Source organism: Homo sapiens, chromosome 11 (genome assembly GCF_000001405.40).
Source record: "Homo sapiens chromosome 11, GRCh38.p14 Primary Assembly".
In the NCBI taxonomy this organism is placed as follows: domain Eukaryota; kingdom Metazoa; phylum Chordata; class Mammalia; order Primates; family Hominidae; genus Homo; species Homo sapiens.
The window spans coordinates 133,883,659-133,896,291 of NC_000011.10; the positions used below are offsets into that span (position 1 = coordinate 133,883,659).

The 12,633-nt window shown below is 47.8% G+C and overlaps 2 annotated features.

Annotated features, from left to right (window-relative positions):
- Window positions 10,790–11,685: an enhancer, noted in NCBI's record as "OCT4-NANOG-H3K27ac-H3K4me1 hESC enhancer chr11:133764343-133765238 (GRCh37/hg19 assembly coordinates)". NCBI's record gives its function as "activates a minimal SCP1, AML or CMV promoter by ChIP-STARR-seq in naive and primed H9 embryonic stem cells {active_cell/tissue: H9 hESC(naive and primed)}" and the evidence as "EXISTENCE:reporter gene assay evidence [ECO:0000049][PMID:30033119]".
- Window positions 11,686–12,581: an enhancer, noted in NCBI's record as "OCT4-NANOG-H3K27ac-H3K4me1 hESC enhancer chr11:133765239-133766134 (GRCh37/hg19 assembly coordinates)". NCBI's record gives its function as "activates a minimal SCP1, AML or CMV promoter by ChIP-STARR-seq in naive H9 embryonic stem cells {active_cell/tissue: H9 hESC(naive)}" and the evidence as "EXISTENCE:reporter gene assay evidence [ECO:0000049][PMID:30033119]".

Consider the following 12,633-nt stretch of genomic DNA (forward strand, 5'->3'; position numbering starts at 1 on the left):
ATAACCTGATCTTTCCCTCTGGCTGCCCTTAACATTTTTTCCTTCATCTCAACCTTGGTGAATCTGACAATTGTGTGGCTTGGGGTTGCTCTTCTCAAGGAGTATCTTAGTGGTGTTCTCTGTATTTCCTGAATTTGAATGTTGGCCTGTCTCTAGGTTGAGGAAGTTCTCCTGGGTAATATCCTGAAGTGTGTTTTCCAACTTGGTTCCATTCTCCCCCTTACTTTCAGGTATACCAATCAATCGTAGGTTTGGTTTTTTCACATAGTTCCATATTTCTTGGAGGCTTTGTTCATTCCTTTTCATTCTTTTTTCTCTAATCTTGTCTTCACACTTTATTTCATTAAGTTGATCTTCAATCTCTGATATTCTTTCTTCCACTTGGTTGATTTGGCTATTGATTCTTGTATATGCTTCACAAAGTTCTTATGCTGTGTTTTTCAGCTCCATCAGGTCATTTATGTTCTGCTCTAAACTGGTTATTCTAGTTAGCAGCTCCTGTAACCTTTTTTCAAGGTTCTTAGCTTCCTTACATTGGGTTAGAACATGCTCCTTTAGCTCAGAGGAGTTTGTTATTACTCACCTTCTGAAGCCTACTTCTGTCAATTCATCAAACTCATTCTCCATCCAGTTTTGTTCCCTTGCTGGTGAGGAGTTGTGATCCTTTGGAGAAGAAGAGGAATTCTGGTTTTGGGGGTTTTTCAGCATTTTTGTGCTGGTTTTTCCACATCTTTGTGGATTTATCTACCTTTGGTTTTTGATGTTGGTGACCTTTGGATGGGGTTTTTGCATGGGTGTCCTTTTTGTTGATACTGATGTTATTGCTTTCTGTTTGTTAGTTCTCCTTCTAACAGGCCTCTCTTCTGCAGGTCTGCTGGAGTTTGCCGGAGGTCCACTTCAGACCCTGTTTGCCTAGATATCACCAGCGGAGGCTACAGAACAGCAAAGATTGCTGCCTGCTCCTTCCTCTGGAAGCTTCGTCCAGAGAGACACCCACCAGATGCCAGCTGGAGCTCTCCTGTATGAGGTGTCTGTTGACCCCTGCTGGGAGGTGTCTCCCAGTCAGGAAGCATGGGGAGGCAGTCTGTCCCTTAGCAGAGCTGGAGTGCTGTGCTGGGAGATCTGCTGGTCTGTTCAGAGCTGGCAGGCAGGAATCTTTAAGTGTGCTGAAGCTGCGCCCACAGGCTTACCTTCCCACAAGTGCTCTGTTCTAGGGAGATAGGAGTTTTATCTATAAGCCCCTGCTGGGGTGGCTGCATTTCTTTCAGAGATGCCCTGCCCAGAGAGGAGGAATCTAGAGAGGCAGTCTGGCTACAGTGGCTTTGTCACACTGTGGTGGGTTCTACCCAGTTCATATTTCCCAGTGGCTTTGTTTACACTGTGAGGGGAAAACCACCTACTCACGCCTCAGTAATGGTGGAGGCTTCTCCCCCCACCAAGCTGGAGTGTCCCAGGTCAACTTCAGACTGCTGTACTGGCAGCGAGAATTTCAAGCCAGTGGATCTTAGCTTTCTGGCCTCCATGGGGGTGGGACCTACTGAGCAAGACCACTTGGTTCCCTGGCTTCAGCCCCCTTTCCAGGGGAGTGAATGGTTCTGTATCACTGGGGGTTCCAGGCACCACTGTGATACAAAAAAAAAAAAAAATCCTCCTGCAGCTAGCTCAGTGTCTGCCCAAACGGCCACCCAGTTTTGTGCTTGAAACCCAGGGCCCTGGTGGTGTAGGCACCCGAGGGAATCTCCTGGTCTTCAGGTTGCAAAAACCATGGGAAAAGCATAGTATCTGGGCCAGATACCACTGTCCCTCACTGCACAGTCCCTCATGGCTTCCCTTGGCTAGAGGAGGGAGTTCCCCAGCCCCTTGTGTTTCCCAGGTGAGGCAATGCCCCACCCTGCTTCTGCTTGCCCTCTGTGGGCTACAACCACTGTCTAATCAGTCCTAATGAGATGAACCAGGTACCTCAGTTGGAAATGCAGAAATCACCTGCCTTCTGCATTGGTCTCACTAGGAGCTGCAGACCAGAACTGTTCCTAATTGGCCATCTTGCCCCCTCTCAAATTTTACTGATTTTATGAAGTCAAATTTATTAATTTTTTTTACTTTGCATCTGGATTTTAAGTCATTGTGAAAAAATTTTTTTCCCACACCCCAAATTATGTAAGAATTTATTCATGCTTTCTTCTAGTACTTACATGGGTACAATTTTTACACTTAAGTCTTCAATCATTTGAGAATTTAATAAAAATATCAGTTTACCCTGTACATCAGTTATTGATTGCCTCAATAATGTTGTATTAAAAATTAACTATAAAATGCCAGTGGCATGTAACAATAAGTGTTTAGTACTCATAAAAGCTTGATATCATAAACACTTGGAAACATGGGATTCCACCTCAGGCATCAGCTGGGTGTCAGCTAGATGTCTCTCCTGATCTTGACAGGGCTCGCCCACAAATCTGAGGATCAGCTGACCAACACTGGCTTCTCATATAGGCTGGTTCCAATTGGAGCAATTAGAGCAATATGGCTCTGCTCTCCCAGCAGGCTACCATGGGCATGTTCTCATGGCAATGGCACAAGCGCAACAGGGCAAGCTCCAAAGCATGGCCTTATTTCAAGCCTTTGCTTGTATAACATCTGCTGACACCCCACTGATCAAGCCTGATCAAGCCCAGAGTAGAGAGGGGGGACACTAGAAAGCTGTATGGCAAGGACTTTGAATACGGGAAGGGGTAAAGAACTGAGGGCATCTTTGCAATATGCTACATCCTGCAGTCTCCTAGATCTAGCTCATCCTAGATTTCTCCCTATCATCTCAGGCTTCTTGAGAGGGTCTTTATCATTCACTGTCTTCCTTGTGAGTCAGTCCATTGCAATTTGGCTTCCTCTCCTGATTATTCTACTACACTTGTTTTCAAAAAGTTGCCAGTGGGCTCTAAACTGCCAGTCCAACATGCATTTTTTGGGTTCTTATATTATGTGACAGAACATGTTATTTGAGCATCAACCTGTCATACATTCTGTAAGCAGATCACACTTGTGCCAGGTATCCTCAGTCTCTCAATATCCACTCTCTAGCCCTCCCTCCCTGTTCTCTTCCACTATCTGGACCACATCAGTGCACTCCTGTGCCTTCTGGCTGCTGGTTGGCTTCAGCCTATGGAAATCCTTGGCAGGAGATTGAAGGGCAAAAGGAAAATAAGATCTAAGTATCTGCTTCCTTGGCTCCACACTGGTGAGGTTATCTGGGGCTGTCTGTAGCCTTGGTCACTGCTCTTCTCAAGGTGACCTACTCCATGTGACTTCTTCTCTTCCCCAATTATGGCCGCCTCTCCTTCCCTTCTTGTCTCCAGGCCTAAGGGGGGTGACAGCGAGCCACTAACTGCCCTGGGTTCCTGCACCACTCACATGGTCTTCCTACACCCTCCCACACCTATGAAAACATCCCTTTATAAACACATCTTCCTCCCATTATGTGTCTCCTACTGAAACCCCAATTGATCCAATGTGGTGTCATTCATTGCTCCCCTCTCCCTCCCAGGAACATCCATTTGCATTTAGGACTTGAATGTTATTCCCTCTACTCAGCTAATCAAATCCAAAAAATTATATGGAGGCAGACGGGAAGAAAATGGAGAGACCCTCCCTTCCCTTTGAGATTCTAGGAACCGGGTGTCCTGAAAGGAAACAAAAACAAGCACACAGACAAAGCTAGGACTTTACGTAAGCCATGTGTGGTTCTCCCCGTGGCCTACAGAGCACAGCACTGGCACTTACATCCTTCCACCTCTGGACACGTGGCCTCTACCCACGCAGGCACTAGCAGCAGCAGGAGCAGCAGACATCCTGAGACGCAAGGTCCACAACCCCAGACTCCTTTGGGCTGAATACAGGCTCTTGAGTTTCCATTCCTACCAGCAAGCAGTGAAGATATCCAGGATCGATTCTGGAATTCATGTAAACACTCCAAGGAGTCTGAGAAATGTAAGAATAAGGAACCCTGGGAAAATTGGCCTTCCTGTTTATTTGGTAAATGAGACAGAGTCGTTGAAATGTATGGTTCCTATGAAAAGTTAACTCAATTTTCATCCCAGCCTGTGAAGACATTTAGGCGATATTTACATGACCTTTCTCTTGTACTTGACCCTACTGACCACTTCCTCCTTCTTGGGCCCCCTTTTCTCTGCCTGCCCCTTAAACATTGGTGAACCCAGGATTCTCTTCTCGGCCACTGCCCATTCCCCTGCTCTGTGTCCTCATAGTAATCTCTACTACTTTCATGATTTAACCTGAGGCTCCATTTTTTTCTCACAACACATTGTCTCAGGGACACGTGTTGGAAAAGTCCCAGGGCCAGACAAGGAACTTGGTGGCTCCTGGAGAAAGTTTAGTGTGCAGAGATAGGAAAACCCCAGGGGAAGACAATAATAGCCCACAGGACTGTGCCTGTTCTCTCTGACCTCCAGGGAGCTGAAGAAGCGCTGAGCAAGTCAGCTGAGACTCCTCTCACCTTAATGCCTTGAAAGAGGGTTAAAAACCACCTGCTGCTGCCATGCTGCTGACACCAGAAGCCAGAAATGATACTTGTAGAAATGCATGGTCCAGAGATTATAGCACCTATGAACCTATCTAAGAAATACTTTACTCTCAAAAAAAATCCAAACACAAATAAAAGATGACGGAGAAAAGGAAGTGGTGAGCAACAAATATACACAAATCCAAATACGTATGTACCTATATGCATTCAGAGATATTTTATATATGCCTGTAAGTACGTATATATTGAAAATCAGCACCTGAAAACAAGTAATCCAAGAAATAAGGATCTTAAATAAAAGACACCTACGTACTGAAAGATAAATTCTAATAATAGCTTAGAATAAATGTACCAAACTCTCTCAGGAAAACCTGGGTGTTAAGATGGAGGGACATCAGTAAAAATGTTCAAAGGCATCATTCAAGTTGGGGAAGAGAAAAGTCAGGAAGTAAAAATGTCCTAATGTTTCACCACACGCAAGGTGGAGAGAACGGTCAGATAACTGAGTGTCTTGACAGAGGAAAAGTTGGCATTTGCTATCATTTAATAGTGATGAAGAAAATACGGATTTGGGTACTTAGAAATGGAACATTATCATTAATGGAATGGAAAATGATAGTTGAACTCCCAAATTTAATAAGGGGGTTAAAGAGCAGTAAATAACAACTGAAAAATAAACAGCAACCAGCAAAAATAAGGAAAACGATGATTGGGAAACCACAAAATAAAATGAATAAAAAATACAAAATAAGGTAGAATGCTGTATAAAGTATAACAGTCATTACTCAGTGTGAATGAACTGAATGATCCTCTGAAAAACAGACACCATCGGATTGAAAAATATTTTTACAAATATGCGATCTAGAAAAGTCAAACAGCATACTTTGAACAGAGACAAAGAAAGGATGGAGGTGTTCAGTGTTGGTAACAAGGCCAACCAGATAGCCTAAAAATCCTCTGCCCCTAAAATCTAGAATGCTGTATAGGATGTAGCAAGCATGCCTCTGAATGCATAGCTGAGTTGATAACTTCTTTAGCCAAAAGTGAAGAGAGAATTGGAAACCAGAGTGCTAAGTATAGGCCGATGCTCCAGTTGATCTGACAGAGAGAGAGGTAGGCGAGAGGGGAAGGGTCCAACCTCTAAGAAAAGCACAGGGACTGGCCCCTGGGGAGAGGTATCAAACACACAGGCCCTTGCAAGGCAAACTGTCAGTCCTGACAGAAAGCCAGGCCCTTCAAGGGACCACATCCTCGGGGAAAGGACCAACACATGGAGACGGGGATGCTCATTTGTCTTAATCTGATGTCCACGTGATTTTAGACCTTCTCTTGTCTCTCAATGAAGTCTTGCCATTTAACTCATAAAGGTCTTGCCCATTGTTTTCTCTTGTTTCGTTGTTGTCGTCACTATTATAAAGATGCCTTTTAAAACACGTTGTTTTGTTGCTGGTATAAAGAACTCCATCCACCTTGGGTTCAGCAATCTTGCTTGGTTCTCTTACTGTTTCCAATGGTTTGTCCATAGATTCTCACAGATTTTATATATAGATATTCATATCACTTGAAAATAATCAATGTTTTATTTTACTTTCTTTTAACCTTTTCTTGATTTACTTTTTAACCACATCAGTTGGATTTTCAGCCCAATATTTCATGGTGGCACTGATGCCATTTCTTTTCTTATTCTAGGCTTCAGAAGGACTGTTGCTCATGATTCCCCACAAATCATAACAGCTTCTGTAGGCTTCAGTAGACACTCAGTTCTGCATCAGCACCTTCAAGCTCAGCCCTGGCCTCCCGAGGACAGCTGTGCTGAGCTGCTCATCCATGCTGGAACCCTCTCACCAACCCATCCTTTATCTCCCTGGTGAATGGAGAGTCCTCCAGCCCAATCAAAAAGCACAGGCAGCCAGTGGGTCTTCTGGTATTCTAGAGTAGATCCATTCTAGCACGCCCATTTCCCTAAGCCTTTGGATCCCTTCAGCCATGATCTGCAAGGGAGTTCTGACACATCTATTTCATTTCATGTGGGCCGTCATTCTCAACAAGCCTCTAGGAACCACTCAGCAGCCATAAGAATTGCCTTATGGGGCCCTGGCAAGATTATTAAAACCTGTATCACTGGTGGGTGCCCCCATAACAACAAACTCTCCCCTGAAGAGCTTTCTAGTCTGGCCCCCTTGGCCCAGGACCCTCAGGATTCACCCCCAAGCACACTCCCTGGTCTGTGCCCAACACACACTAGCCAGATCCTTCAGCTCCTTGAAGAAATCCCTCTCCTCTCTTAGCAGAACCAATGCTTGCCTAGGGGGATATGCTGAGCTTTGATTCTCTTATTGGTCTAAGTGATAAGAAGGGACAAATGGGGCATCTGTGGATGGGAAAGCTGCTGAGGAAGTCAAGAACTTCTTGTAGAATACCTGCTTCATTTGAAGCATCTGCCTGTTCTTCAAGCAAGGAGGGGTTTCTGTCTTCCAGAAACGGGGAAAGGCCATTTTGGCAGGACCAGAAGTTTTGGGGAATCTGGAGACTCAAAGCCTTCCAACACATTTCTCTCTCTTTTCCCATCCCAGATGGTGGGTCTCAGTCTTTTCCTATTAGACCCTGACTTTGGCATATGAGACTCATCTGGTCTGAGATTCAGCCTGCTCCAGAATTCTTCTTCTCTAACAGTTAAGTCCTGGGTCTGGTCTTCAGCTTGTTCTGCCCTCCTGCTGCATATGGGAGTCTCTTTAAGGCCACCAAGGAGGCATGCTGACTCTCCTTTGCTTTAAATTGGAGATTGGCTGCCCTGGTCCTGCCTTTCCTCTCTTCAAAGCCTCAAGGGCATTCGGCCACTCCATCCCACAGTTCCTATCAGTGGTCTTTCTTCAGAACCTCTCAAATATAAGATGTTCTATGAACCAGTATATCCCTTTTCCTTGTACCTTCCCTGAGTTCTACATGGGTGGCCATCTTAGCAACTGCACTGCTAACACATACCAGCAACTGCTAATACTGTACCTGCCGCTATGATGGGGTCCTTTTGCCAGCCAGTGGTGAGTGACCTAATTCCTGAGTTCCAACCTTAGAGTCCCCTGGCATCCAGTCTTAGACTGGGTTCTCTAGGTGCAAAGCCTAAGCCAGGCAATGGGGTGGGGGGTGTTTTATTGTGGAAACTTCCAAGAAAAAAACTAAAGAAGTAAGGAAAGCTAGACAGGATTGGGGAAAGAAGTGATGAAGGATGTCATCTCAGGTGAATTCTAGCTGTGGCCTGATCCTGGAAAGCATCATAGAGACACCCTCTCTTTAAGGCAAGCAGGTGGCCTTTTGTATCCCTGTGCCAGCCATTAGCTGAGGGTCACTCCTGGCAGAGGAGCTTGTCATTTCTTGGGCAAGGGGGCTCACGTCAGTGAAGGGCACCTCTCCAGTGATGAGCAGGGTGGGAGGCACCTGTGAACCATGGGCCACCAACATGCAAAGAAGCCAGGGGATGGGCACACCCATCTACTAGAGGGGAACTGGATAGGACACTTTGGCACCCACAGTGCTCCTGAGCCCTAGAGCTATGATGTCCTGGGAAACTTCCACTCAGCAATCAGCTGTGCCATCAGAACTTCCCCTCTGCCTCCTAGCCCAAGATTTGTCAATAGTCACTGTCTCCACTTTCTCATCAACCCACTCCCACGGGGCTTCTGTCCCCACCGTGCCACTGAGGCCGCCTTGTCAACATCATTAATTACCTACCTCTACACGACACTCAGCTGCTTGTGTGCACCCCTTCTCTTCTCTGTCTACCCTCCCCTTCTAGGATTTAAATACCATCTCTCTGAGGACAATTCCCTAACCTGTATCTACACTGATAGGGTCCCTCTGGAATCCCAGGCCCACACATCTAGTGGCATCTGACCTGACATCTCCAATGGGAAGTTTAAGGACCGTTTCAGACCTTACAACTCTTGATGTCTGTCCCCTTTCATACCTCCTCCTCCCCCAGTCCTCTTTCTCAGTTGCTCAGGTCAAAAGCCAGAGTCATTCTTGATTCCTCTCTTTTCTTCACTCTCACGGCAAGCTTTTCAGCAAGTCTGTCGCCCCTCCCACACAGATCCAAACTGGTCGTCTCCTCTCCGCCTCTGCTGTGGCTGTCCTGGTCTAAACGCTTCTCAGCTGGGACTGTGGATGGCATTGTCATCTCTCTGTTCCCTCTGCTCTCACCCTCCTATAGTCCGCTCTCCACCAGCAGTCAGAGGGGTATTTCTAATACATAAATCAGATCAAGGCTTTGCCCAGCTTAAAACTCTCCGGTGACTTCCCAGCACCCCGAGAATACAATCTAACCCTCCTTCCCTTTACAGAGCCCTAGTGTGTCATTCATCCTCTTCCGCTGCTCTCTCCTTCCCTTCCCACTCATGGCTCACTCTATTCCTCAAACAGACCAAATCCACTCCTACCTTCAGGTCTGCAGAAACAGCACCTCTGCTTGGGAGGCTCTTCTCTGCTGAGCTGTACCTGACTGGCCCCTTCTCAACAATGTGAGGAGGCTTAAATGTGACTTCGAAGCCATCTTCCCTAGCCACCCAACCGAAAGCAAACCGCCCGTCACTCCACACCATCCTACTCAGTTCTACAACCCGCCTGTCACTCCACACCATCCTACTTGGTTCTCTGCATAATGCCCATGACACTTTCACAGGACTGGGTTGTTGATTGACTGGGTGACTGGCTGGATCCCTACATTAGAATGTAGGCTGTGGGAAAGCCAGGCCTCTCTGCTGGTTCCAGGCCATTTCTCCCTCCTCACACTGCTCCTCTGAGACGTGTGCCTTTTGGGTTGGCCACCAACAGGACTGATGGGGGCTCCACTGCCAAGGGGCTTCCACACTAGTGAGGCGGACGCACAAGGAGCCGGTGAAACGAAGCGCAGTGGAAGGCTGTACTGAGGTCAAGGAGCTGCCGCTGTGAAGGCCCACACCCACGAGAGGATGAAGGGGCCTCAGGTGTGAAGGGACACTTCCTGTTGCCCTTTGATGATTAAGGCCCCAAACTGAGGACACACAGGAGCTGAGCATCCCGCCCTGTCACGGAGCGCTGGTTACCTCCAGCACAGCTGAACAAGAGGCGGCACAGCTGGCCGTAGCAGCACACCAGGATGGCAGCAGGAAGGAGACGAAACAGAAGGTTGAAGTCCAGTCACTGGCCTTCTGAGGAGTGCCTGGAAGTGCTAAGAGGCGTTTCCCTCACCCTCCTTATGTGGGTGGAAAGGGCGTGCTTCTCCCTCAAAGCCAAGCGAGATAATGCTTCATAATGATCTGGCATAGAGAGGGGGACTGCCCGCAAGAAGGAGAAGGTGGCATTTCTCCTCGGAGGATGCCACTGAGCTGCAGACACCTGCACTCAGCCTGTGCTGCCAAGGCAGTCCCCGAAGACTTAGACGGGAGCCCTGTGCGTCTGCACAGACGTGTGTCTCCTGCCAAGAAAGGCTGCCTCCCTCCCTGCGGGCAGCTGCCTCAGAAAGGCCAAGGGATTTCCCCAAGGTCCCACTTTTTTTTTTTTTTTTTTTTTGAGACGGAGTCTGGCTCTGTCGCCCAGGCTGGAGTGCGGTGGCGCCTCTCTGCTCACTGCAAGCTCCGCCTCCCGGGTTCACGCCATTCTCCTGCCTCAGCCTCCCGAGTAGCTGGGACTACAGGCGCCCGCCACCACGCCCGGCTAATTTTTTGTATTTTTTTTTTTTAGTAGAGACGAGGTTTCACTGTGTTAGCCAGGATGGTCTCGATCTCCTGACCTCGTGATCCGCCCGCCTCGGCCTCCGGAAGTGCTGGGATTACAGGCATGAGCCACCACGCCCAGCCGGTCACCTCTTTCTTAACGGCACAGGCAGCACAAGGACTTTTTCCAGGGGTGGGGGGCGAAGGCAAGCCACTGTGAATGCAGATGACTTCACCAAGGCTGAGAAGCACAGGCAAAAGCAGCTTCGCAAAAGCAGTGATGAATCTAGGACGGGAATTGCAGGGTGCTGCCCACCTCTCTAGGCTGATGAACCAGGGCATCATGCAGTTCTTCTTCAACACTAGGTTTGTAGACAGATGGCTCCTAGGCCCCGACCGCAGAGGAAAGGGTTCCATGGAAATGGGGAAAACAGCCCAAAAAGGGAGGCTGGGGGCACAGGAGACTGGCTAGTTTACCTACAGCACACCATCTGCGTGATGATGCAGACCGCTGAGTACCCCAGGACTAGCCCGGTCTCTCCCCAAAACCTCACAGCAGAGCTTGGGTCCTGAAATCAGCACAATCTCAAGGTGTAGAAAGCCCAGAAAGTTTGCTGTCACCTGGTGTCCCCTCTTTCTCTGGCACCATAATTCACCCAAACTTCCACTAATAAAAGTCCTGGCATTGCTCAGCAGGGTTCACAAGTGCCATTTCCTAGACCCAAGGGGCTGCATGACCTCACTTGGGGAACACGGGTGTCCTGGGACTGTGTCATGTGGACCTGAAAGGAGGCCTAAGGGAAAAAGTACTGGGCCTCATTTTTATTTTCTAGGCAACTTCCTGCTGCCTTAAAGCCTTTGAGCAGCAATGAGGGGAGGAAAGGATGAAGGGAGAGAGGGAGGCAGAGAGAAGAAGCGAAGAAGTGAAGGGCCATCGATTGGCTCATTCATTGGTTCTGACCAAAAGAGAGATAAATCAGACCTATTTTACTTAATCTGTGAGGTTATCTTGAGCATCAGATGAAATAAAAATGAAAGCATTTCTTCAAGTATGGAGCACCTGAATTTAGGCCCAATCTTAAAAAGAGGCAAAAGTCTCTTAAATCTAACAGAGACGGTCCTCCTGACCAAAATTATTTTTTTCTCACTACTTTTTTAAAATTTAGCTTTGCCAGAGAGCCTGTGAATGTTACAGGATTGTGAGGTCAGCCAGCTGCTCCTGTAGAATGCCGACGGCATGCTGGGAATGCAGTACCGCACTGCCCACAGCCTCGGGGATGAGCTGAGAGCTGGCTCTCACAGGGTGGGGTTGGCAACTTTGGCCACATTCACCTATGCATAAGAAAGAGACTGCGAGACACTCCATGCATCTGCTTTTACAAATTAAGATCAAATGTAGAAGAGACATCAAAAAGATTTTCATCATGGCCTGCTAAGAGCAGGGGAGGGCAGAGGAAAGAGCGAATGCAAACTAGGGAGGAAAGAGAATCGTGGCAGATCACTGAAGCAGAGGAAAGCTGTGCGGACCCAGGGCCCGCCAGGCGGAACAGCCCATCTCACAGCTGTTAGGGAATTTCCCATGGCAGAGGTTTTTTCATGTATAGATGGGCCTATTTTTCTGTCCGTTTGCTGGTTTTATCATTTGGCTGTTTTCTCCTCTTGGTACGCATAAACAGGAATATCGTATTTTGGCATCTGATCTCCACCTAAATCCCAAATAAAATGAGAAGGCAGCCTAGTAGGTATTGCTAGGGAACCAGGGGAGCATTGCCTACATCCAGCATGAGAAGGGGAGGACGAGGACGGGCCAGGGCAGGAAGTCAAGTCCCCAAACTCAACCCTGGAGGAGACAGAGTGAGATGCCGAAGCCTGACCATCCCTCCCTCTCGGGAAAAAGAAAGGCTGAGACAGAGGGGCCATCACACCCGACTCTTGCATGAGATTTTGCCGAGGGCCAGCAGGACTTGCTGGCAGGAGACTCGTTTAGACAAAGATAGAGTCCAACCAAAAAATTACCATCATTGCATAATTGAAGAGCCACTGCAAAGAGCCTACAAAGTAAAAGAGAAGTGTGTGCATTCACCAGACAAGCCACCCCCTTTCTGCTTTTGCTCCAGTGCTGCCTCCCGCTGAGACCCTCTCTGAGCACTCTAAAATAGCGCTCTAAACCGCAGCCCCCTCCTTCCTTCTGTACGTCAGCTGCCCCTTACCCTGCTCCTTTTTTTTGCCTTATGCCATTCGATGTCATTTTCTTAGTGCAATAATGACTCATTCTCTGTCCCTATCACTAGAATGAAAGCCCTCCAGGAGCAGGAGCCTTGTCTGGCCTATTCACTTGTGCACCCCAAGTGAACTAAACAGTGACTCACACACAGTATACCCTCAGTACATGTGTGTTCAATGAACGAAAGG